Consider the following 26,182-nt stretch of genomic DNA (forward strand, 5'->3'; position numbering starts at 1 on the left):
ACTGAGCAGGTAAAAACCCAATAATGCACACCAAAAGTACACAGAAATGAGGTAGTCCCATGTAGTGGAGCCCCAAAGGTAGGTGCTTTCTGCCTAAGTGGAGCTCAAGGTAGCAAAAAATAATGGGGATGAGCCATGGCACCTTGTCAGGCTGGTGCTATAAAGCCATATGTACTGTTATTTACACCCCATAGACTTAATAGTCTGTCCAAGATCGCTGAACACTAGAACATAGCATGGCTCTGTGGGTTTGTCTCTTGCTACATTGTACCGTGCTCCTGGGGTTAAGTGGAAGCAAGCATTGGGAGAAATGTGTGAGATTTAGCCCCAGCTGTTCTTTAGCTCAGATTTAAACCTGCTGTCTCTTCTTTATTTGCAGAATGAATTCCCAGTTCCTGAGCAGTTCAAGACCCTATGGAACGGGCAGAAGTTGGTCACCACAGTGACAGAAATTGCTGGATAAGCGAAGTGCCACTGGGTTCTTTGCCCTCCCTTCACACCATGGGATAAATCTGTATCAAGACGGTTCTTTTCTAGATTTCCTCTACCTTTTTGCTCTTAAAACTGCTTCTCTGCTCTGAGAAGCACAGCTACCTGCCTTCACTGAAATATACCTCAGGCTGAAATTTGGGGTGGGATAGCAGGTCAGTTGATCTTCTGCAGGAAGGTGCAGCTTTTCCATATCAGCTCAACCACGCCGCCAGTCCATTCTTAAGGAACTGCCGACTAGGACTGATGATGCATTTTAGCTTTGAGCTTTTGGGGGTTATTCTACCAACAAACAGTCCATTGGAAAGAAAACAGTCCCTGGAATTAACAGATCAGAATGTTCACACTGGTTAATCTTTTTTTAACAATGAGCATGAAGGTAGCAGAAGCTGGTGTGTTTCCAGATGGTTCTTCTAACCAAACTAATTTTTCACTGTTGACAAGCGAGGCAAGGGTTGCACTGGACCAAAGGCTGAGGCTTGGCCATCTAGCATTCCATACAAAATTGTTTCCTATAAGCATTCCTTTTATTCTCTATTCTATCCTGGGTCTGCCTCAACCGTGAGATAGGAGAGTCTCTGGTACTAGCTGCTGTAGCAGTGCCCTTCATCCAGGGCAGTTAATGGAGTCTTGGACCCTTTCTTTCTCTGGGATCCCTGCCCAGCACCTTCCTATAGAGATGACTTTAAAAGGAAAAAAAAAAAAAAAAAAACCCACATGATTTCAAGGAGTCTGGCATTCCTGAATCCTTCTTCCCTGCCAGGTGCCTGTCACCTGTCTTCACTGCCTCCTTTTCCCTGTCATGCTCATCAGCTTATGGCTTCTGTCTAAGCACCTGAACAGAGGACTGAAACCTCCACTGCAGGCTGGTTTTAGGTCTTGAATTATGTAAGAATCTTGCACAGCACTGCTAATGTAAATTTCAGTTGTTTTTCCCTCTAGGACAAACACTTACCAAAATATGCAACTTTTTTTTGGTGGGAAGAGAGATTGTCCTGTGATTTCTACCCATTTCCTGAGGCCTGTGGAAATAAACCTTTATGTACTTAAAGTTATACAGAAAATAGAATAAAGTTAATACCAAACTTGCTTAGTTGTTTACCTGTGATATTGGCTGTACAGAAATGCAAAAAATACTGAAAACACCAAGGATAAGAAACTACTCTTTATTTTAGACAACCTCATAAAATTATTTTCACATCCCCCCCAACTTCTTGCTCTTAATCCTCATCTTTTAGTTGAAGAATAAGGCTTAAGAGAGAGAAAGGAAAAACCATAATGGCTAAACTTAGCAGCACCAACACGGTTCTTTCATCAAGGCGTAGCTCATCATTTCTCCAAACTGACATGCTACAGAAATGTCTTCCAAAAAGCGTTAAGTTTTCACAGAGTGGGGACTATGATTTCCATGCTCAAATAGTGTAGGAAATGGTAGATTACGTTAGTTTTGTTTACTGTAACAGGAATTCTCAGGAGTCCTTAGACACTCTAATGTGGGTTGATCTCCAGAAGGAGAAAGGGAGTGTGTAGTATTTTCCAAGCTTTTTGAGCAAACAATCCTTTTCTCATGGAACACATCAGAAACAGTTTGGAGTATGCTGGTAAATGTGTTTTGGGGATGGAAGTCAGAAAGCCTGATCTTTTTCATATGGTTCCTCCTATTCTCTGCTAAAGCCAGCAACAGAGTAAGTTGACTCTAGCATCAAGACCACTAGTCATATTAAGAAAGGGCAGGTTGGTCGAGAATGGAATAGGAAGAACTAGCTGCCTCACTTTTCACTTTCGCGCCTACATTTTCTTCGCTCCCTAAGTTATACAAGATGTACATTTCCTCTCTTAAGCAACTTAATTTGGGTGCTACTTCCCTCCTTTTGTGACAGCAACTAATTCATCACTACCTGAGGAGACAAAGTGGGTGCTGCAGAAGCAAGACTGTAGGCCAGTGGGATTTGTCTAATAATTGATGATAAGATGATAGCACAGAGGGCAACGTACTGAGAGAGGAAGGCAGCCTTAAGAAATGATGCAGAAATAGCCAAGCAAGATTTTTCCAAGCACTGGTTAAATCACCAGCAAAACAAAGCATTTATGTGAGTACCTCAGGCCTGGGCACCTCTTTGCTTGAAATATGGCAAGACTTGGAAAAATGTTTGCCCTTAGAATCTATCTCACTACTTTAGTTAGTTGTCTCCTTTGGGCCTGGGCACAGTTCTGGCACTGATCTGGAACAGACTCCCTTTTCTAAAACTGAACTTGACCACATCAAAAGTTTGTAAAACAATCTCCATGGTAATTAAACTTGCATTCAACACCATATGGTAACAGAAGATGGCAAAGGATAAGATTCAGATCTTAGATCTTTCCAAGTAGGGCATGTTAGATGATAGAAGGATTAGTTGCAAGCTGGATCTGAGCTCAGGCTTGGGCATGAAGGAAACTGTCTCCCATGTGGTTTGGAAGAGTTAGGGGCTCCCTGAGCTCTATTGTGAACTATACGGGTTTCATCCAAGGAATGGTATGATGTGGGCATAAAACCATTCTTCAGACAACTGAAGATGGTCCCCTTCTGTAGCCAGAAACACTAGCTGTCCTGCATTGTCCATTTCCTTTAGCCCCAGGCGGTCCTGCAGAAGGAAAGGCCATAATTAATTAAAAAGCTTAATGAAGTTTTGGAGTAAAATGGTAAGTACGTTAACTTGAGATATATTTTCAAAATGCAGTTTGTCCTGAGTATTAAAATTGAGGTGTATTTTCAAAAATGCCAAAAAGAATATCTCCTACTTCTTTTTCTTTCTCTTTTTTCTTTTTCTTTCTTTCTCTTTCTTCCTTTCTTTTCTTTCTTCTCTCCTCCCCCTCCTCCTGTCCCCCCCGCTTCTTCTTCTTCTTCCTCTCTCTCTCTCTGTCTCTCTTTCTCTTTCTTTCTTTCAAGACGGAGTCTTGCTCGGTTGCTTAGGCTGGAGTGCAGTGGTGCGATCTCGGCTCACTGCAACCTCCACTTCTCTGGCTCAAGCGATTCTCCTGCCTCTGCCTCATGAGTAGCTGGAATTACAGGCGCATGCCACCATGCCTGGGTAATTTCTTGTATTTTTAGTAGAGATGGGGTTTCACTGTGTTAGCTAGGATGGTCTTGATCTCCTGACCTCAGGTGATCCACGTGCCTCGGCCTCCCAAAGTGCTGGGATTACAGGCGTGAGCCACCACACCCGGCCAGTTTTTTCTAAGTATTAAAAATAGATATGCAATTGAGATTGCTCTATACAGTGTTCTAGATTCTGATTTTTGAAAAGCTCAGAGTCAGAGGACTACCTATAGGTGGGCAAGCCATAGACGACACTGCCTCAGAATGCCATAGGTAAGTGGGACTGAGCCAAAGACAGAACATTAGCTAGGTAACTTAAAAAACATCCAACCCAGGACAGGCGCGGTGGCTCACGCCTATAATCCCAGCACTTTGGATGGCCAAGGCAGGCGGATCACCTGTGGTCAGGAGTTCAAGACCAGCCTGACCAATATGATGACACTTTGTCTCTACTAAAAATACAAAAATTAGCTGGGCATGGTGGCGGGCACCTGTAATCCTAGCTACTTGGGAGGCTGAGACAGGAGAATTCGCTTGAACCCGGGAGGCGGAGGTTGCAGTGAGCTGAGATCATGCCATTGCACTCCAGCCTGGGCAATGAGCAAAACTGTCTCAAAAGAACAAAACAGAAAAACCATATCCAACCGTTAGGTAACAAACCCTGGACACTTTCATATTCTGGAGTTGAAAATGTCATTACCCATAGCCTAGATGCTGGAGAACAACCTCTGGTTGGGAAGATAAGCAGTTACGACAGTGCCAGAATGGTGCTTCTGCCGTGGCCAACATCATTTTGAGTTTTCACAGTAAGGAAGTTCTTAGCTGTAATTTCTCAAGCCTTTTTTTTTTTTTTTCTCAAATCAGATTCTAGCTTCCCTTTTTACCTCACCACCCAAGTTGAGGCACCCAGTGCAAAAGAAAAGCCAAGCCAAGAGGAGACAAATGACCTCTGAAATAACATGGAGGAATTCTAGTAGACGGTGATTGGTTCAGATGTAGTACTTAGCATTTTGGAGAGTCTGTCTCCAATATAAAATCCTTAGGGCTGGGCGTGGTGGCTCACACCTGTAATCCCAGCACTCTTGAAGGCTGAGGCAGGTGGATCACCTGAGGTCAGGAGTTGAAGACCAGCCTGGCCAACATGGTGAAACCCCGTCTCTACTAACAAAACAAAGTATTAGGCATGGTGGCGTGTGCCTGTAATCCCAGCTACTAGTGAGGCTGAGGCAGGATAATCGCTTGAACCCAGGAGGTGGAGGCTGCAGTGAGCTGAGATCACACCATTGCACTCCAGCCTGGGTGACAAAGCAAGACTGTCTCAAAAAAAAAAAAAAAAAAAAAAAAAAAAAAAAATCCTTAAAGTGTAGAAGGCCCCAGAACTGGAGGTGGCAAATTACTGCAACTTCTGCTTAAGATACAGGACCTACTGCTAAACAAAATTCAAAACTCTAGTCCCACTCAACCTCCTGCAGGAGCCTCCCTTGTCAGTGCGTAATTTAGAAACAGGATTTCACATCTATTAATGTTTAAAAGTAATGTCCCTTGGCCAGGCGCACTGGCTCACGCCTGTAATCCCAGCACTTTGGGAGGCTGAGGTGGGTGGATCACCTGAGGTCAGGAGTTCAAGACCAGCCTGGCCAACATGGTGAAACTCCATCTCTCCTAAAAATACAAAAATTAGCCAGGTGTGATGGCACACACCTGTAATCCCAGCTACTAAGGGGGCTGAGGCAGGAGAATTGCTTGAATCTGGGAGGCAGGGGTTGCAGTGAGCCAAGATTGCTCCACTGCACTCCAGCCTGGGTGACAGAGCGAGACCCCGTCTCAAAGAAAAAAAAAGGAATGCCCCTCATCATGCATGGAGGCTTCCTGGATTTGTAGCAGACTGTACCTCAGCCAAGGCAGCTAGTTTTAAAACCTTTTTATCAAAAGAAGGGAATCAGACATGAGGTTTCTCTTGTTGTTTGGAAACCATAAGGTTTCAGGATGTAGTGGATTTTTGTAACCCAGTGCCTAATAAGCTAGAGCACATAATCAAGAGCCTAACAAGCTTCACCCATATTGGACATGAGTCAGGTGTTTCAGGAGTACCTAGTGCTCTGAGGTGTAAAGGAAAGGGCTCCAGCACCAAAGAACATAGCAGCTTCAGGAACTGGGAGCTGAAAAAACACCAACCTCCCAAGATAGACTCCCTGCCAGTTACCTGTGTGTACAGGGAGGTCTCCTGTAAGGGAATGGTTTCCTTGGCTTGGCCACTTCTGTAAAATCCAAACCACTGCAGAAGAAGCAAAGGAAAGAAGCTCAGATATGACACACAGCACATACTGCCAAAATAATTTGAGACTGGTTAGAAGCTAAAACTGCCAACAAAGTGAACATCATAAAGCTGTAGGAAGAAGGAAAAATGGATAGGGTGCGTCTGAGTCATCTCTTCTTAAGGGTGGAGCCCGAGGGATGAGTTAATCTTTCTGAGAGGCCGCTTTCCACTTCCCCAGAATTTCTGCTTCCTAAAATTATTAAGCAATAAATGTGAAAAATTCCTGTGCTGAGCTCTAGACATTCAAGGATGAATACATAATCTGTTTCCAAAAAGCTCCCAGTCTTGCAAGGCACGGAAACAATTCACTGTTGAGTACAGAGGTCAGCAAACGTTTTTGTAAAGGCCAGATACAAAATATTTTAGGCTTTAAGGGCCATATGGTTGTAACTACTCATTGCTGCCACTGTAACAAATGCAGCCACAGACAGTATGTAAAAAGTAACTAAAACTGTTCCAATAAGGACACTGAAATTTAAATTTTACATAATCTTTATATGTCCAAATACTTGATATGTCTAAATAAATTTTACATAATCTTTATATGTCCAATTCTTTCCCCCAACCATTAAAAAATGTTAAAAACATTCTTTTATGTTAGTGTTTGGTGTTACTCGTGGGTAGCACCAAAACGGGTAGCAGGATGGACTGGGCCTGTGGGCCACAATCGGCCAATCCCTGGTGGTGTGACATAACGTGATGAGTGTTTTAACAGAGGCTGATGATTCTAAAAAAGCGATCACATTCTGCTTGGAATGGGGATGGCATCCTTGCCTTGACAGACGAATAGAAATTGTCAGGTGGAGAAGCCAAGGAAGGGCATTCTAGAGACAGAAATATATGAACCAAGGCATACGAGAGAAAAAGCACAAGTAGTACAATATGGCTTGATCAAGAGTGTATGAAGCGTGCAGACAAGGCAGATTAGGCTGGAAAATGGGGTGAAGCCAGATCAAGGCAGACCTTGGAGGCCAAGCTTAGGAATTTATATATTTTGGGCTAGTGATTCTGAACATTTTTTGGGTCTCTGATCTCTGGAAAATGGATTAAAATTATAGATCCTTCCCCAGAGAATGTAATTACATAATTTTGCATAGAATTTTGGGGTTGGGGGATTGATTACAATCTTCAGTGTCCCATTTATGGACCTCAGGTGAAGAACTGTTTTATACAAAAGTTGGTGGAAGGGACTGAAGGTTTTTTCCCCAGCAGGCAGCTGTATTTTTTCATTTCATTTCAATTTCATTTTATGTTCTTTTTGAGACAGAGTCTCGCTCTGTCACCCAGGCTGGGGTGCAGTGGCACGATCTTGGCTCACTGCAAGCTCTGCCTCCTGGGTTCAAGTAATTCTCCTGCCTCAGCTTCCCAAGCAGCTGGGATTACAGATGGCTGTCACCATACCCGGCTAATTTCTTTTTGTATTTTGAGTAGCGATGGGGTTTCACCAAGTTGGCCAGGCTGGTCTTGAACTCCTGACCTCAGGTGATCCACCCGCCTTGGCCTCCCAGAGTGCTGGGATTACAGGCATGAGCCACCGTGCCCGGCCAGCAGCCCTATTTTAATGCCATTTACTCTCCTGGCATGTGGCCTAAGTAGTGTCTCACCTCCGAATCTACAGGGTCCACAATGGAATCATTGAGGAATTTCACCATCACAAACTTCTTCAGGGCCATCAGGTTTTTCTTGTAGGACTCATTGATACCCTGAAAGAAAGGCCAGCAACACCTAAGGTCATTACCATCAGACACCAGCAGAGGGAGTAAAGCCTTCCTGTTTTCTGGTCTCCCTGACCCTGTGCCACTGTGTTTCTTCCCCATGGGTATGGGCTGTTTTCCAGCTTCCTGACCAGGATATACCTGTACAGCTTTTTTTTTTCTTTTTTTCTAAAAAACAAAATATTTTATTTTAGATTCAGGGGGGTACATGTGTAGTTTTGTTATAAGGGTATATTGTGTGATGCTGAGGTTTGGGGTTCTGTTGATCCTTTCACCCAGATAGTGAACACAGTGCCCAACAGGAAGTTTTTCAGCCCTAGCCTCTCCCTCCCAGCTTTTGGAGTCTCCAGTGTCTATTGTTCCCATCTTTATATTCACGTGTACCCAATGTTTAGCTCCCACTTATAAGTGAGAACATGTGATATTTGGTCTTCTGTTTCTGTGTTCATTTGCTTAGGATAACGGCCTCCAGCTGCATCCATGTTGCTGCAAAGAACAGGATTTCATTCTTTTTTATGACTGTGTAATATTCCATGGTGTATATGTACCACATTTTCTCTATCCAGTCTACCGCTGATGGGCACCTAGGTTGATTTCATGTCTTTGCTATGGTGAACAGTGCTGCAATAAACACGAGTGCAAGTGTCTTTTTGGCAGGACAATTTGTTTTCCTTTGGGTATATACCCAGTCACGGGATTGCTTACACAGCCTTTTCTTTTCCTTTTTTTTTTTTTTTTTTTTTTGAGATGGAGTCTCGCTCTGTCACCGAGGCCAGAGTGCAGTGGCACCATCTCAGCTCACTGTAACCTCTGCCTCCCAGGTTCAAGCGATTCTCCTGCCTCAGCCTCCAGAGTAGCTGGGATTACAGGTGATCGCCACCACATCCAGCTAATTTTGTATTTTTAGTAGAGACAGGGTTTCACTATGCTGGCCAGGCTGGTCTCGAACTCCTGACCTCAAGTGATCTGCCCACCTCGGCCTCCCAAAGTGCTGGGATTACAGGCGTGAGCCACCACGCCCGGCCTTCTATAGGCTTTTCTTACCATCCTATCTGACTGACATGCCACTGAGCATGGCATACAGGTACAACTATGAGTTTACACCACACTCCATAGGTGTCCATCACATAGGTGAGAGGCTTCTAGTCAGAGAAAGCCAAGACAAAATAAGAAACTGCAAATTCTGGGTCGTTCTGCTATATACTATTCTGTGTTGTTTTTTGTTTGGTTTGTTTTTCCCTTCAAACTGTTTCAAAACAAAAAACCAAAAGACTCTCCAGATGAGTCAAATATAAACTGAGCCATCTAGTTTACCAGAACCTACCAAACCATGTTTGTGTCTGGGACATACTCAGTGCCTACTGTATCTCTCTTTTAGGTAAATCTCTAGAGAAAAATCCACCCCCAGACTGATCCATCAGGAAAGCTTCCCTCATTAAGACAGCAGCTGTGAATTTCCACCTCGCCCAGTCAGCAACCTGCCGAGCTTATCCTGTGTGTTTCAACACTAGGAGAGGGAAAGAACTTAAGGGAAGAAAGGCAAATGAATTTCAACCTCCCTAAAGGGAACTGAATCTCAAAGGCCCTGCCTCCCAAAAAAAACAGAACTTCTCTTTCCTAGTGTCTGCCCAGGACAGTTTGGGTAAACAGTCACTGCTGATTTGTTTATGAAGACCTAAACAGGAAAAAGAACGCACATCTATGGGAGCCCGGTTTGGGTGCTTACCCGCTCCTGATTTATATCTGCCAAGAAGATGCTGTGGTTGCGATACACATCCTCCTTTATGGGGTCATGCCAGTATTCGGCTTGCACGAGGCTGTAGGAAAAAAAAAGAATGAGGTGATCAAGCTACAGGTCAGTCAGTACGCCCAGGGCATGCTCAGTGCAAAGGCCACCAAGAGACTTTAAAAGGACAAAAGGCCAGCCAGGCACAGTGGCTCACACCTGTAATCCCAGCACTTTGGGAGGCTGAGGCAGGTGGATCACGAGGTCAGGAGTTCAAGACCAGCCTAGCCAAGATGGTGAAACCCCGTCTCTACTAAAACTACAAAAATTAGCCAGGCGCGGCGGCAGGCGCCTGTAATCCTAGCTACTTGGGAGGCTGAGGCAGGAGAACTGCTAGAACCCCGGCGGCAGAGGTTGCAGTGAGCTGAGATCGCAGCACTGCACTTCAGCCTGTGCGACAGAGTGAGACTCTGTCTCAAAAAACAAGGACAAAAGGCCAAAGCCCTCAAGTCCCAGGCCTTACCCTTTAATACAGAAGACAAGACTTGCACCTAGGAAACAGTCTGTCAACAAGACACCTTGTTGAGACAGACTGTTCAGCATAGTACAGAAATTATAAAAGATTCAGGCAAAGGACTCATCAATATTTGCTTCTCCTGTGACACTGGGGTTTATCATACTTATCATGCTGATATGGTTTGGCTGTGTCCTCACCCAAATCTCATCTTGAATTGTAACTCCCACAATTCCCATATGTCATGGGAGGTGACTGAATTACAGGGGTGGGTCTTTCCTGTGCTGTTCTCGTGACAGTGAATAAGTCTCATGAGATCTGATGGTTTCAAAGAGGGGAGTTGGGCCAGATTCTGTGGCTCATGCTTATAATCCCAGCACTTTGGGAGGCCAAGGCGGGCAGATCGCCTGAGGTCAGGAGTTCGAAACCAACCTGGCCAACATGAGGAAACCCCGTCTCTACTAAAAATACAAAAATTAGCCAGGCACGGTGGCATGTGCCTGTAATCCCAGCTACTTGGGAGGCAGAGGGAGGGAGAATCGCTTGAACCTGGGAAGCTGAGGTTGCAGTGAGCCAAGATCACGCCATTGCACTCCAGCCTGGGAGACAGAGCGAGAATCCATCTCAAAAAATAAATAAATAAATAAATAAATAAATAGAAAATAAAATTAAGAGGGGAGTTTCCCTGCCCAAGCTCTCTTCTTTTGTCTACCGTCATGTGAGATGTGCCTTTCGCCTTCCGCCATGATTGTGAGGCTTCCCCAGCCACATGGAACTGTAAGTCCATTATAAACCTCTATTTGCCCAGTCTCGGGTATGTCTTTATCGGTAGCATGAAAACAGACTAATACAGTAAATAAGTACCAGTAGAGTGGGGTGCTGCTGAAAAGTTACCCAAAATGTGGAAGTGACTTTGGAACTGGGTAACAGGCAGAGGCTGGCACAGTTTGGAGGCCTCAGAAGAAGACAGGAAAATGTGGGAAAGCTTGGAACTTTCTAGAGACTTGTTGAATGGCTTTGACCAAAAGCCTGATAGTGATATAGACAATAAGGTCCAGGCTGAGGTAGTCTCAGATGGAGATGAGGAACTTGCTGGGAACTGGAGCAAAGGGGACTCTTTATACTTTCTTTCCAATCTCTCTCCACTTCCTCTTCCCTTCCAGCCCCCACCTCCTCAAAATGGGCACGGTTACCCCAAGGCCTCACATGGGGAAATTCGAACAAACTCTATCCCAGGTTGGCAGGGAGAGAAATCAAAATTTCTACAACATACGCTCCGTAGCCAGAGTGGAAGAGCTGCCCAGAGGCAGTGGTCCTGAAAACGCCACTCGGTGGAGCAGGCTGGCGCTAAAGCCCAACAGAGCCAGCTACGTCAGAGATGGAGCTCTCCCTCCCAGGAGCAGATGAGACTGAAGTTAAAGGAAGCAACAGTCAGAGTGACATTCTAGAATGTGTTTATACATGTATTTGAAACCTTTTAAAGGTTTAGAACTCTGAACATTTATAGAATGCAAAAAAAAAAAAGTTCCTGAGGAAAATTAGAAGTGTTATTTCAGTGAACACACAAATAATAAGGAAGCAAAACAGTCTTATTGCTGCTATGGAGAAAATCTGAGTGGTCTAGATAGAAGACCAAACCAGCCACAACATTCCCTTAAGCCAAAGCCTAATCCAGAGCAACGTCCTAACTCTCTTCAATTCAATGAAGGCTGAGAGAGGTGAGGAAGCTGCAGAAAAAAAGTGTGAAGCTAGCAGAGGTTGGTTTGTAAGGTTCAAGGAAAGAAACCATCTCCATAACACAGGAGTGCAAGATGGGGCAGCAAGTGCTGATGTAGAAGCTGCAGTAAGTTATCCAGGAGATCTAGCTAAGATACTTAATGAAGGTGGCGACCATAAACAACAAATTTTCAGTGTAGGTGAAACAGTCTTAAATTGGAAGAAGATGCCATCTAGGACTTTCACAGCTATAGAGGAGAAGTCAATGCCTGGCTTCAAAACTTCAAAGGACAGGCTGACTCTCTTGTGAGTGCCTCATGGAGCTGATGACTTGAAGCTGAAGCCAATGCTGGGTTACCATTTTTTAAATCCTAGGGCCCTTAAGAACTACGCTAAATTACTCTGCCTGTGCTCTACAAATGGAACACAAAGCCTGGATGACAGCAGATCTGTTTACAGTGTGGTTTGCTGACTATTTTAAGCCCACTGTTGAGACCTATTGCTCAGAAAAAAAGATTCCTTTCAAAACATTACCACGCAGCTGGGCATGGTGGCTCATACCTACAATGCCAGCACTTTGGGAGGCCAAGGTAGGAGGACCATTTGAGGCCAGGAGTTCAAGACTAGCTTGGGCAACATAGCAAGACCCCACCTCTAGAAAAGAAAATTCTTTTTAAAAGTAGCCGAGCATGGCGGTGCATGCCTGTAGTCCTAGCTACTCAGGAGGCTGAAGTGGGAGGATGGCTTGAGTCCAGGAGGTGAAGGCTGCAGTGAGCTGTGATCACACCACTGCACTCTAGTCTGGGCAAGAGAGCACAACCCTGTCTCAAAAACTATTTTTTTTAATTAAAAAAAGTTTAAAAACAAACTCAAAAAACAAACAAATATTACAGCTCATTAAAAAGCACCTGGTCACCCAAGCGCTCTGATGGAGATGTACAAAGAGATTAATGTTGTCTTCATGCCTGCCACAGCACATCCATTCTACAGCCCATGGATCAAGTAGTAATTTCAATTTTCAAGTCTTATTATTTAAGAAATACATTTACAAGGTTGTAGCTGCATAGACAGTGATCCCTTTGATGCATCTGGGCAAAGTAAACGGAAAACCTGATGGAAAGGATTTATCATTCTAGATGCCATTAAGAACATTAACGGGCTGGGTACCATGCACTTTGGGAGGGTGAGGAGGGAAAATCAGTGGAGCCCAGGAGTGTGAGACTAGCCTGGGCAACATAAATGAGATCCTATCTCTACAAAAAAATTAAAAAATTAGTGGGGTGTAGTGGCTCACACCTGTAGTCCCAGCTGCTCAGGACGCTGAGGTGGGAGGATTGCTTGAGCCTGGGAGGTTGAGGCTATGTTGCAGTAAGCTGTAATGGCACCACTGCACTCCAACTTGGGTGACAGAGTGAGACTCTGTCTCAAAAACAAACAAACAAAAATTCATGATTCACGGGAAGAGGTCAAAATATCAGTATTATCAGGAATTTAAAAGAAGTTGATTCCAACCCTCATGAATGGCTGAGGGATTCAAGACTTCAATGAAGGAAGTAACTGCAGATGTGGAAATAGCAGGAGAACTAGAATTAGAAGTGGAACCTGACGATGTGACTGAATTGTTGCAATCTCAAAAAACAGATAAGGAATTGCTTCTTACGGATGAGCAAAACAGTGGCTTCTTGAGATGGAATCTACTCCTGGTGAAGATGCTGTGAACACTGATGAAACGACAACAAAGGATTTAGAATAAATATTACATAAGCTTACATAAAAGCAGCGGCAGGGTTTGAGGATTGACTCCAGTTCTGAAAGATGTTCTATTGTGGCCAAAATGCTACCAAATAGCATCGCATGCTACAAAGAAATCTTTCATGAAAGGAAGAGTCAACTGATACAAAGTTCATCATTGTCTCACTTTAAGAAATTAGCACAGCCACCCCAATGTGGGCAGCAGGCCACCCAGGTGCCGAGGCAAGAGACCGAGGGCATGAGCTGTTCCGGTATAATAAAATATATAAAACAACAAGAGTTATCCTAGACCTAGATCATAAACATGATTATATATGAATACCATTCATCATTAGTTTGTAGCAATTATTCTTTATTCCAATATTATAATAATCCTTGCCCTACAATCATAACCTAGGAAAAGCCAGGCCATACAGAGATAGGAGCTGAAGGGACATGCTCAGAAGTGACCAGAAGACAATAGTGTGAGCCCTCTGTCATGCCCGGACAGGGCCACTAGAGGGCTCCTTGGTCTAGCGGTAATGCCAGCGTCTGGGAAGATGTCCGTTGCCAAGCGGACCGTGGTCTAGTGGTAGCGTCAGTGCCAAGGAAAAACACCCACTACTTAGCAGACTGGGAAAGGGAGTCTCCCTTTCCCCGGGGGAGTTTAGAGAAGCCTCTACTCCTCCACCTCTTGTGGAGGGCGTGACATCAGTCAGGCCCGCCTGCAGTTATCCGGAGGCCCAACCATCTCCCTGTGATGCTGTGCTTCAGTGGTCATGTTCCTAGCCTGCTTTCATGTTCCATCCTGTACACCTGGCTCTGCCTTTTAGATAGCAGTAGCAAAATTAGTGAAAGTACTAAAAGTCTCTGATATGCAGAAATAATGGCCTAAGCTGTCTTTCTCTCTCTCTCTCCCCACCTCGGCTGCCAAACAGGGAAGGGCCCCCTGTCCAGTGGACACGTGACCCATGTGACTTTACCTATCATGGGAGATGGCTCACACTCCTTACCCTGCCCCCCTTGTCTTGTATCCAATAAATATCAGCGCAGCCTGGCATTCGGGGCCGCTACCAGTCTCCACGTCTTGGTGGTAGTGGTCCCCCGGGCCCAGCTGTCTTTTATCTCTTTGTCTTGTGTCTTTATTTCTACAATCTCTCATCTCCGCACACAGGGAGAAAAACCCACCGACCCTGTGGGGCTGGACCCTACATCCCAACCTTCAGCAACCACCACCCTGATCAGTCAGCAGCCATCAACACCGAGGCAAGACCCTCCACCAGCAAAAAGATGACTTGCTGAAGACTCAAATGATTAGCATTTTTTAGCAATAAAGTATTTTCTAATTAAGGCATGTACTTTTTTTAGGCATGATGCTACTGCACACTTAATAGACTTCAGTATAGTGTAAACATAGCTTTTATATGCGCTGGGAAACCAACAACTTTGTGTGACTTGCTGTATTAACAATATTTGCTTTATTGTGGTGGTCTAGAACCAAATCCTCAGTTTCTCTGAGGTATGCCTGTAGTTCGTTACATTACTCTCTAACTTTTTTGAATGGCTGAAAGTCTCTGAGAGAGCCTGAGTAGATGCCTTAATATTTCCAGAAAACCAAGTTGCAAGTTCATCGGCTGAGGGCAAAGACATGGGAAAACTGGACAATTGAGGAAAAGCACTCTGAGATCCACTGAGGGTGGGGTGCAAACTGGGAGCGGGGCCCAGAGCAGACCTGGGGAAGGCAAGTTGCTATGAAAATTAAACAGGATATGTAAAGCTCTAGCTTCCTCTGAGCTGGTACGGGGGAAGACGGAGGCCAAGGCCAGGGCAACACTGAAGCATTCATTGTGGCAGGGAGTGTAGAGGTAGGAGGGTAGAGCGTGGGGCAGGGGATGGCAGGGAGCAAACCGGAGGAAGGAGAAGGCTAGGAAGGGCTGACAGCATCTGCAAAGGCAAAAGGGAACTAGAGGGTAGTTTTACATCCAGGAAGGAGAGAGAGAACTATTATACCATTCCTCGTTGCCCTCACCATGCCAAGCCGGGGGCTTCCCCACCAGTTACTGTGCGTATTAGGATATCACGTTTGCTTTGCTAAGGTTAAGTTATCTGAAGAATGTGGAAGACATCTTTTGGGGTCTCTGCCTCTCTTGCACTCTTCCTGCCCGGCCTACTGGTTTACAGGGAGGTGGGGTATGGTTAGTAAGCACGGTCCCACTTCTCTGGCCACAGCTAATGAGAGCAGAGGGGGAGACCTGACCTGAGCTGGGGCATGGTCCCTTCCTGAAGAATCTGAATCGGGACAAAGAGAGTCTAGCCTCAGACTGAGACAATCTCCTAACAGAAAATTAAACATTTGGAAGCCGTGCGAGGCCACCTTCCATCATGTGGGTGGCAGGGGAAGCTGGTCTGCATGGAGAGAAAGAAGCAGCGACACAGAGAGAGAAGCAACAATGGCACTGGAGAGAGAATACCCTGGCTCCTCATGGCTCCCAATTCTTGATTCTAGGCCCTATGAGGCTTTAGGCACCAACAGAGTATTACTTTCTTTTAAAATTTACTTTGGCTTGATATGGGTTTCTTCTTGCAACCAGAATTAATCCTCCCTAATACCAGGGGCAACCTGGGACAGTATCACAAAGACAAAATGATTTCTCTTTATTACTTTAAGCCTTCACCATCTGCTCTGCTAAAACAGTTCTCACACTCATTCATCTGCTTGCTTGCTTTCAAAAACATGTTGCCATTTTTTATGATCTCTTACCTCCTCTCTCCCTGTTCTCTCTGCCCTTGTGGGTTTATCACTTTTTATTCTTCTGCTACCACTTAATTAAAGTTTAAGGAGGAAGTGAAGATAAACACATCAATCTATAGCTTTTAATCAGTATTTTTTATTTTTATTTTTTGAGACAGAGTCTCACTCTGTCATCTAGGTTGGGGTGCAGTGGTGCGATCTCAGCTCACTGCAACCTCCGCCTTCTGGGTGCAAGCAATTCTCTAGCCTCAGCCTCCGGAGTGGCTGAGACTACAGGTGTGCACCACCACGCCTGCCTAATTTTTGTATTTTTAGTAGAGATGGGGTTTTGCCATGTTGGCCAGGCTGGTCTTGAACTCCAGGCCTCAAGTGATCTGCCTACCAAGGCCTCCCAAAGTGCTGGGATAACAGGCATGAGCCACTGCGCCCCGCCTTAATCAGTATTTAGGTGTCACTTGTCACCCCCCGACGGACTGCTCACTTAGCATCACTAACAGAATTCTGATCGCCAAGGGTTGTTTTGGTTCACACAAAGAAAGAAAAGTATAGGCGTTTTGGAGGCAACTGGGCAAGAGTGAGAATAAAGAGTAAAGGAAGAAGAATGAAGTTTAAATACCATGCAAATCCATGAGAACAGAGAATATGTAGAATATAAATAATTAAGTTGTAATTAGCCACAGCCAATCAAACCAGGCAAAGGGGAAAGCTTGGTGTAGCCTGAGGGTAAAAAAAAGGAGCTAGAGGTACAGAGTATCTTAGTTTTCTATAATAACCATCAGGTGGTACTGCTGACCCAAAACAGCTTTGTGGCTATTTGTGTAGCCAACGAGTGGGAAAAGAAAAGACAGCTATTAGCTGTAGGTGGTTACAACATGAGTCAGTCACAAGGCTGTATCTTGGAAAATGGCTTCAAGAATATACTGTAATAAAAAGTTGTTATTTGACAAGAATGAGACACTTGGAAAACCCACAGGATATTAGTTGATCCCAAACTCCAGCTATCATCAAGAGCACGTCAGACCTACCATCAAAACTTTTTTTTTTTTTTTTTTGAGACGGAGTCTCCCTCTGTTGCCTAGGCTAGAGTGCAGTGGCGCAATCTCGGCTCACTGCAAGCTCCGCCTCCCGGGTTTTTTAAGTGATTCTCCTGCCTCAGCCTCCTGACTAGCTGAGATTACAGGCGTGCGCCACCACGCCCAGTTAATTTTTGCATTTTTAATAGAGACGGGATTTCACCATGTTGGTTAGGCTGGTCTTGAACTCTTGACCTCATGATCCACCTGCCTCCACCTCCCAAAGTGCTGGGATTACAGGCGTGAGCCACCATGCCCGGCCCACAACTTCTAAGGATAAAGCCCAGGAATCCATTTTTAATGAATTTCCCTGTGGTTCTGATATACAATTAAGTTTGGAACCAACTGAACAAGCACATACTACAAAAGTAATTCTGCATCTTTTTTTTTTTAAAAATAGATTTTAACAGAGACAGGGGTCTCACTATGTTGTTCAGACTGGTTGTGAACTTCTGGCTTCAAGCAATCCTCCTGCCTTGGCCTCTCAAAGAGCTGGGATTACAAGTGTGAGCCATTATGCCAGGCTGGCCATGCTAAATACCCAAATACATTTGAGTAGTCAGGGACAGTGATATAGGGAGTAGCTAATGACATAAAGAATCTGTCCTCTAAATACCAACAATAATTCCTTGAGCTTAGTACTTTCTAAAGGCTTTCTGTTTGTTTTTTAAGGATGGAAATTTATTCTGTTATAATTACATTCTTCTTACATAGAAAAATGCCCTTGTTTTTCTTTCTTTGTTTTTTAGTTAATAGACTTTTTGGAGCAAGTTTAGGTTTACAATGAAATTGAGCAGATAGTACAAAAAGATCTCATTTGAAGGCCGGGTGTGGTGGCTCACGCCTGTAATCCCAGCACTTTGGGAGGCCAAGGTGGGTGGGTCACCTGAGCTCGGGAAGTTGGAGACCAGCCTAAACAACATGGAGAAACCCAGTCTCTTCTGAAAATACAAAATTAGCCAGGCGTAGTGGCGCATGCCTGTAATCCCAGCTACTCGGAGGCGGAGGCAGGAGACTCGCTTGAACCTGGGAGGCAGAGGTTGCAGTGAGACAAAATCACGCCACTGCCCTCCAGCCTGGGCAACAAGAGCGAAACTCCATCTCAAAAAAAAAGATCTCATTTGAATATCACAAGGAACTACTGCTGGAATCACTGTGAGCATGAAAGTCAGCATGATATTTTCACACGGTGACAGGTCTGTAATCTTTTCAGCTAACCATACATACCGTTCCTGAACAACTTTGGAGTACGCCCCAGCATTCAGTGTTTTTCGGATGAAGTCACAGATGTGAGAGCTCTCTCCTGGGCATCGAGGGAGTCCAAAAACACCTACAGTGGTAGATGACAAATATCCACTCCTTCAATAATGATGTATCGAATACCCACTATGCACAAGGCACTGTGAGAAACAAAATGAACAGGACCAAACTCTGATTTCATTCACTTATTCCTCATGAAAATAAAGCGCAGAGAACTAATACTATCACCAGCTTCCTCCTGGTGCTGCTACACTCTTTCCTGCCTAAGGATCTTTTTACCTGCTCATCCCTGGAGGATGTGTTGCATCACATGGCTGGACGCATTTTCAGCTCTCAGGTCTTGGTCCTACACAAGTCACATCTGACCACCTTATCTCAAATAGTACCCACCCCCATTTCCTTCCCCTCCCCCAGTTATACTTCATCCTTAGCATCCTCATCAATAACATTGTTTTGAGTAACACAAATAGTTCTAAGCAAAATATTGGCAATAATTAATTTAATCCTCACAACCACCCTGTGGAGTAGATTTCATTATTTGCCCTATATCACAGATAGAAAACTGTAAAAATGAGGTTAAATACCTTGTCCAAGGTTAGACAATAAGGTATAAGCCAGGATTCAGACACAGGCAGTTTGGCCCCAGAGCCCACTCCTTTAAGCACTACAACCACTAGTGTGTCCTTCGAACAGTATCCTGTTGTTTTTTTCCAAGAGATTGGGTCTTGCTATGTTGCCTAGACTAAAGTGCAATGGCTATTCACAGGCACAATTACAGCACACCACAGTGTCTTGAACTCCTGGCTTCAAATGATCCTCCAGCCTCAGCCTCCCAAGTAGCAGGGACTACAGGTGTACACCACCATGTGCCCAGCTATCCTCCATTTTATCGTGTATATATATATATGTGTGTGTGTATATATGTGTATATAAGTGCATATGTGTGTATATATATGTCTATATATGTCTATGTATGTGTGTATATAGGTGCATATGTGTATATATATGTCTATGTATGTATGTGCATATATGTGCACATGTGTGTGTGTATATATATATATTTCATGAATGCAAGAACCTTGTCTGTCTTGTTCCTGGCATATAATAGGTTTTCAATAAATATTTGTTAAATGAATGAATAATAAAGCTGTTTTTACCAACTTACGTTTGTATAATCCTTATACTTTTAAAAAGTATTTTCCTACCTATTATTTCACTTTATCCTCTGAAAAATTCCCATAGGACAGGCAGGGCCATATTTTGGTTTCTTCCATCTGTGAGTGGAACCTAAGATACCAAATTACTTGCCTAGGAGTAATAGTTAATTGGGTGAGTCCAGGTTTCCTGATTACACGGAGAATCATTCTGCTCCCACATTATACCAGCTAATAGCTATACCCATCAACAACAGAGATGAAATTCCATTCTAATGACACATCCTTCCCCAATAGTATGGAATTCCGTCAAAATAGAAAACCTGCTGTTTCTCAAAGAGTTTAAATTTATAGACACAAGAGCTTACACACTATTCTTTGCCTAAGCCTAAATTCAAGAGGATACCACCAAATCAGAGAACAGAAAAGGTCACTCAATTTTCCTAACTCCTCAACCACCACCTGCCACGTGGCTATAACCATCTTACTTCCATGCAATCGTGTCAATGAAATTGGAGAGAAGTAGATGCCAACCTAGTGATCCAGGCCTCTGGAATCCTAAGTCTCTTCCTATGTCTCCAGCAATGCTGGCTAGTTTGTTAAAAGCTAGAGAAACAGGATTTTGCAAGAATGGCTGATGTCTTGTGCAAATATAGTTCCTAGATTTTTTTTTAAATCAGGTGGTCATGTGGGTTAGAATACAGAAAAAAGAAAGCAAAGAGGCAAAGTTACCTTGATGTTGTCCCCCAACCGAGATCAGATTGATCATGGGAGGTGAAGGGCATCTCTGAGCCACTGCCCTCCTACGGAATAAAAGGGAGTTTTAGCTCCGACTGTCAGATGGAAATGTATCATCCACAATCAGCATCACAGATTAAGCTAGTCATCCTCTGTGACTCCCCAAACCCGCAGAGTTTCAGGATTTTCCTGATATGGGCAAATGCAAATATTTCTTTCAACTTTCATAGAAAATAAATTAAGCTCCAGCCAGGCATGGTGGCTCACACCTGTAATCTCAGCACTTTGGGAGGCTGAGGTGGGTGGACTACCTGAGGTCAGGAGTTCGAGACCAGCCTAGACAACATGGTAAAACCCCATCTCTACTAAAAATACAAAAAATTAGCTAGGTGTGGTGGTGAGCACCTATAGTCCCAGCTACTCGGGAGGCTGAGGCAGGAGAATCACTTGAACCTGGGACGTGGAGGTTGCAGTGAGCTGAGATCGCGCCACTGCACTCCAGCCTGGGCAACAAGAGAGAAATTCTGTCTCAAAAAAAAAAAAAAAAGAAAAGAAATTAAGTTCCATAAAGCTTCTTACACAGGAACATTTTAGGAAATTTCCCTTCCAAGATAGGTGACAATCTTGAATTGGAGGAGTGGATTTATCTGAATAAAAGAAACAAAAATCAATTCCATATAAGTGGTACAATATAACAAAAAGGAACGTACAGAAATTGGCCTCCCTGGGAGAATCCCATAGCATTGTAGCCTTGCTGCAATTTAGGATCCTTAGCAAGTGCCTGACACACTGTTGTTACTTGGGAATTGACATTCAAGAAGAAGCTGTTCTCCACGTCCTAAAAAAGAAGCCAGAGAGAAGTGAGAGGATGGGACTGAAAACAACCACTGACATCTTCTCTAAGAGGTAAACTCATTTAGGTTGGTATCCTCACATGAGCCACTCAAGGGTGAAAGTATCACTGTATGATCTGCTGCTGAAAACACAAGGCAAAGCATTTTAACAGTATATGCTATGAAATCAGTCAGCAACCCTTCAAAGGAACAGCTGTGAAGCGCCTTACCTCCATCAGGGTCTTCCCAATCTCTAAAGATAAGACGTAAATTCCAGGTATTTTCTTCTCCACCATTTTTTTAATAGCACCCATGCTTAAGGGATTGCAACAGCTGTCTCCTAGCCAACAAAACACAATGATGGAAACTCATGAGTCCAAATATTGTTTATTGTTTAAAAACTCTGAGGCCTCAAACAGCATTATCAAGGATGTGAAAACAATGTATAGAATGGAAGAAAATATTTGCAAAACAGTTATCTGATAAGGGCTTAATATCCAGAATATACAAGGAATCTATAACTCACTTACAACTCAACAAAAAGATAACCTAATTTAAAAATGGGAAAAGAAATTAAACAGATATTTTTCCAAAGAAGATATACAAATGGCTAACCACTGGCATGTGAAATGCAAACCAAAACCACGATGAGATACCATTTCACACAGACTAGGATGTCTTTAATAATAATTTTTTAATAGAAAATAACAAGTATTGTCAACGATGTAGAAAAATGGGACCCCTTGGACATTGCTGGTGGGAATGTAATAAGCAGCCACTGTGAAAAACAGTTTGGTGGTTTCTCAAAAAGTTAAACATACGATTACTAAATGACTCAGCAATTCAACTCCTAGTTATACACCCCAAAGAAATAAAAACACACGTCCATGCAGAAACTTGCATATAGATGTTAACAGCAGCAGTGTTTGTAATAGTCAAAAGGGAGAAACAATCCAGCAGTCCATCAATGAATGAATGAATAAAATGTGGTATATTCACACAATGGAATATTACTGAGTTATAAAAAAGGAACAAAGTGCTGACACATGTTACAACTTGAATGAACCTCAGAAACATTATACTAAGTGAAAGAAGCCAGACTCAAAAAGCCACATAATGCATGATTCCTTTCATAGGATAAATAAAGAACAGGCAAATCCACTGAGATACAGAAAACTAAGCTGGAGATTATCAAGAAGTAGTAGGAGGGGGCAATAGGGAGTGATTGCTTAATGGCTATGTGTGTTTTTCTGGGGTGTTGAAAAAGAAGTGTTAGTTGCACAACATTGCAAATACACTAAATGCCACTGAATCGTACCATTTTAAATGGTTAACTTTACATGAATTTTTACCTCAATTTTAAAAAACAGAAGAAAGAACATTTTTTGCTTAGCTCCTGTTTATCAAGTAATAACAAGCTTCAAAAGTCCATACAGGAGCTGGGTGTCATGGCTCACGTCTGTAATCCCAGCAGTTTGGGAGGCCGAGGTGGGTGGATCACAAGGTCAGGAGCTCGAGACCAGCCTGGGCAACATGGTGAAACCCCATCTCTACTAAATATACAAAAATTAGCCGGGTGTGGTGGCACATGTCTGTAGTCCCGCTACTTGGGGGGCTGAGGCAGGAGAATCGCTTGAAACTGAAAGGTGGAGGTTTCAGTGAGCCAAGATCATGCCACTGCACTCCAGCCTGGGCAACAGAACAAGGCTCCATCTCAAAAAAAAAAAAAAAAAAAAATCCATATAGGCCAAGCATGGGCTCATACCTATCATCCCAGCGCTTTGGTAAGACGAGGCAGGAGGATTGCTTGAGGCCAAGAGTTCGAGACCAGTTTGGGCAACATAACGAGACCCTGTCTCAAAAAAACCAAAAAGCCCATATAGGATAATTAAGACACCAAATTTACAAATGAAAAATAAGCAGAGGTACACATTCCCTTCCCCTATCACAGGGGATATTTGGGGTGAACAGATGCAAAGTTTTCTCTTCAGGGCCAGGACTAGGGTGAGGCAAATTAAGCATCTAGGACAGCGGTCTTCAACCTTTTTGGCACCAGGGACCAGGTTTGTGGAAGACAATTTTTCAAAACTGTTCCACCTCAGATCATCAGGCATTTGCTAGATTCTCATAAGGAGCACCCAATCCAGATCCCTCACATGCGCAGTTCACAACAGCATTTGAGCTCTTTGAGAATCTAATGCCACTGCTGATCTGACAGGAGGTAGAGCTCATGGTGGTAAGGCTGCAGGCTCACTCACCTCCTGCTGTGTGGCTAGTTCCTAACAGGTCACAGACCCAGGGAGTTTGGGACCCCCGCTCTAGGGCACAAAATTTAAGGAGGCACTCATTCTCAGGTTTATGTAAGTGTTGACCCTGAATTTGAGAGTGAGTGCCTCCTTAAATTTGCACTTCAGGAGCCTCTTCATCTTGTCCTAGCCCCAGACTTGTTTCTTCTATTTCAGGGAACTAGAACTAGGAACAGGAAGCAAACTGGCTACTGAGTAGAAGTGGACTGAGATCATTTCCCATTTTGAACTTACTTATTCCATTTTCAACCTGCGAGAAAGCTTAAGCACCAATTTTAGAACAAGAAAAGGCTACTGCCTAGAGAATTGTCTATTCCTTTTATTTCTCTGAAAACAACGTTCTCCACACTGAGCTGTAATTGTAGGTTACTTAACTGCCTCTGCCTCCCCTGTAACTGACTGTGAGCTCTGGGAAAACACAAAGCTCCTACCCTGTGTCCTCTTTTGACCCCACTGTAGTAGCCCCAGGGCCTGTTGGAGAACCTTGCAAGTGTTTGTATTTGCTGACTCTAATTACTCTGAATATTTTTCTGTAACCCATCCCAATAAAGATCTCACTATCACGACTCTCCCAAAACTGCTTTTGTCAAGATTAATCATCTTTATATTGCTAAATCCAATAATCAGTTGTCAGCCTTTATCTTCCTTGACCCATTAACATTTGATACAGTTGATCATGACCTATCAACATTTGATGCAGTTGATCATGCCCTTCTTCCTGAAACATTTTCTTCACTTGGCTTCAAGGACACTGCGCTTTCCTGACCCCTCCACTTCACCGGCTATTTGGTTACAGCCTCCTTTGCTAGTTTCTCCTCATTTCCTCCACCTCCAAATGGAATGGAGTGCCTCAGGGCTTAGTCCTCTGTGTACGCTCATTTCCTAGGTGGTCTCACCTAGCCTTTAACTACTAGCTGTATGCCGAAGACTCCCTACTTAAATCTCCAACCCGTATCTCTGTCCTAGACTCCACACTCCAAATGCCTCTACAACATCTCCTGGGTGTCTCATGAGGATCTCAAGTTTAGTAAGCCCAAAAGCAGACTCTTGATCTTTCCCCCACCCTAAGTCAGCTTGTCCTACAGGCTTCCCCATCTTGGTAAAATGAAAACTTCACCCTTCCAATTGTTCAGGCCAAAACCTGTGGAGTCATCTTTGGCTCCTTTCTTTCTCTCTTATTCCAAGTCTGATCTGTTAGCAATCCACCTTCAAAATCTATCCAAACTTTGACCACTTCTCAACACCTCTACTGTTACTCTACAGTTCCAAGTCATCATCTCTTGTTTAAATTATTGCAATAGTTTCCTAACCTGTCTCCCTGTGACCATCCATGACGCCCTACGATCTATTCTTAATACAGCAACTAAAGTGATTCTTTAAAAATGTGTCAGATCATGTCACTCATCTGCTCAAAAAGTTCCCCATGACACTCTAGCCAAAGTCCCTGCATTAGTCTTACTAGGCCCAATAACTTCTGTACCTGCCCCTCCCTTCCAAACTAAACTCCTAACTTCTTCCCCTTGCTTACTCATTTCCAGCCACGCTGATCTGAATGCTGTCCCTTGAACACACCAGACATACTTCCACATCAGGGCTTTCCCATTTACTGTTCCTTCTACCAGACAGCCAAATGGCAACTGTCCTCATCTACCTCAGTTTTGTACTCAGATGTCACTTTTTCAATGAATTCTTTCCCAACTTTGCTTTATTAAAAGTGCAAGCCCCCACCTCCAGTTTTTATCCTACACCCTACTATATTTTTCTCTGTTGCACATATCACCATTTGATATGTTATGTTTTACTTGTTAATTTCTTTATAATCTGCTTCTCCTACTGGAGAGTAGGTTCCAAAAGAACAAAGAATTTAGTCTGTTTAGTTCCCTACTGTATCCTCAGCACCTAGTAGGTGCTCAATAACTGTGTTAAATGAATATAGGTTGAGCATCCTAATCTGAAAATGGGAAACCCAAAATCTGAAAGTTTTTCAGCGCAGACATGATGCCACAAGTGGAAAATTCCACACCTGACCTCATGTGATGGGTTGCACAAAATTATTTAAAATATTGCATAAAATTACCTTCCAGCTATGTGTATAAGGTGTATATGAAAAATAAATAAATTTCCTGTTTACACTTGGGTCCCACCCCCCAGATCTCTTGTATATATGCAAATATTAAAAAAAAAAAAATCCGAAATGCTTCCCAGTCCCAAGCATTTCAGATAAGGGTTACTCAATTTGTAAATGAACTGTAGGTGCCTAACAAATCTCTGTTCAATGTGTGAAGGAATAAATAAAAGGGTAGATGCGCCAGTCATATAGCCAGCCGCAGCTCACCTAGCCTGACCAAGTGAGAGATGCTGCATCCTGACGCCACTACTGTAAGGATTAATCAAGGACAGCATGTAAAACTTCAACGCCGTGCGCGGCTCTCTCTTTCCTTCCCCTTCTCTCTTTCCAGTGAAGGGGACGGCTCCTTCCCCTTCTCTCTTTCCAATGCAGATCCTTCAAATCCTAAAATGTCGAGGCAGCCGCGTGCTGTGGGACCACGTCCTCGCCCTCTACACCCGCATTTTGCAGATGCGAACCCAGGCTAGGAAGAGAGAGAATCGCCAAACCCTTTTAAATTTCTCACTCACTCACCCATCCCATGCCAGATCACCAACGGCAGCGGCGCCGGCGGGTCCAGATGCTGCAGCGCCCGAGAAGCGCAGGTCCATGGCAGGAGAGCCACAGCCAAGAGCCACAGGCAGCCGGGCGACGCCATCTTCGCTGTGTCAC

At 43.8% G+C, this 26,182-nt stretch overlaps 2 protein-coding genes across 28 annotated transcripts in view, besides 3 other annotated features; one reads left to right on the forward strand and one right to left on the reverse strand.

Annotated features, from left to right (window-relative positions):
- CAP1 (cyclase associated actin cytoskeleton regulatory protein 1) overlaps positions 1–1,578 on the forward strand; it is a 32,409-nt gene extending 30,831 nt beyond the window's left edge. For all 25 annotated transcript variants that reach the window (NM_001350479.2, XM_047431628.1, NM_001350480.2 and 22 more), the window contains one exon: positions 380–1,578. In NM_001350479.2, the coding sequence (NP_001337408.2) occupies positions 380–463 (84 nt within the window). In that variant the 3' untranslated portion in view covers positions 464–1,578. The remainder of the gene's footprint in view (positions 1–379) is intronic.
- Positions 391–26,182, reverse strand: PPT1 (palmitoyl-protein thioesterase 1). 3 transcript variants are annotated; one of them, NM_000310.4, is made up of 9 exons: positions 26,045–26,182; positions 21,328–21,437; positions 20,975–21,102; positions 20,259–20,329; positions 18,340–18,442; positions 9,327–9,417; positions 7,490–7,588; positions 5,772–5,843; positions 1,642–3,113 (listed from the first exon to the last, which is right to left on the reverse strand). In NM_000310.4, the coding sequence occupies exons 1-9, from the start codon at positions 26,166–26,168 to the stop codon at positions 2,991–2,993; spliced, it is 921 nt and encodes a 306-aa protein (NP_000301.1). In that variant the 5' UTR covers positions 26,169–26,182; the 3' UTR covers positions 1,642–2,990. The 3 variants fall into 3 exon arrangements, with proteins under 3 accessions (NP_001350624.1, NP_001136076.1, NP_000301.1); NM_001363695.2 differs by lacking the exon at positions 5,772–5,843 and having other exon boundaries at positions 391–3,113; NM_001142604.2 differs by lacking the exons at positions 20,259–20,329; positions 20,975–21,102; positions 21,328–21,437 and having other exon boundaries at positions 391–3,113.
- Positions 7,684–7,733: a silencer, noted in NCBI's record as "silent region_720". NCBI's record gives its function as "represses an Ori minimal core promoter by ATAC-STARR-seq in GM12878 lymphoblastoid cells {active_cell/tissue: GM12878}" and the evidence as "EXISTENCE:reporter gene assay evidence [ECO:0000049][PMID:35858748]".
- Positions 13,627–13,921: an enhancer, noted in NCBI's record as "tiled region #13734; HepG2 Activating non-DNase unmatched - State 12:CtcfO". NCBI's record gives its function as "activates a minimal TATA promoter and a strong SV40 promoter by Sharpr-MPRA in HepG2 cells {active_cell/tissue: HepG2}" and the evidence as "EXISTENCE:reporter gene assay evidence [ECO:0000049][PMID:27701403]".
- Positions 25,917–26,046: an enhancer, noted in NCBI's record as "active region_829". NCBI's record gives its function as "activates an Ori minimal core promoter by ATAC-STARR-seq in GM12878 lymphoblastoid cells {active_cell/tissue: GM12878}" and the evidence as "EXISTENCE:reporter gene assay evidence [ECO:0000049][PMID:35858748]".

The sequence above is a fragment of the Homo sapiens genome, chromosome 1 (genome assembly GCF_000001405.40).
Source record: "Homo sapiens chromosome 1, GRCh38.p14 Primary Assembly".
Lineage (NCBI taxonomy): Eukaryota > Metazoa > Chordata > Mammalia > Primates > Hominidae > Homo > Homo sapiens.

Coding starts and splice junctions, on each gene's coding strand:
- PPT1 (NM_000310.4), bottom strand. CDS start 26,168: ATGGCGTCGCCCGGCTGCCTGTGGCTCTTGGCTGTGGCTCTCCTGCCA. Junction 20,330..20,974: donor TCCCAGGGAGGCCAATTTCT/GTACGTTCCTTT, acceptor TTTATTCCGTAG/GAGGGCAGTGGCTCAGAGAT. Junction 5,844..7,489: donor TGGACCCTGTAGATTCGGAG/GTGAGACACTAC, acceptor CTTCTTCTGCAG/TGGTTTGGATTTTACAGAAG.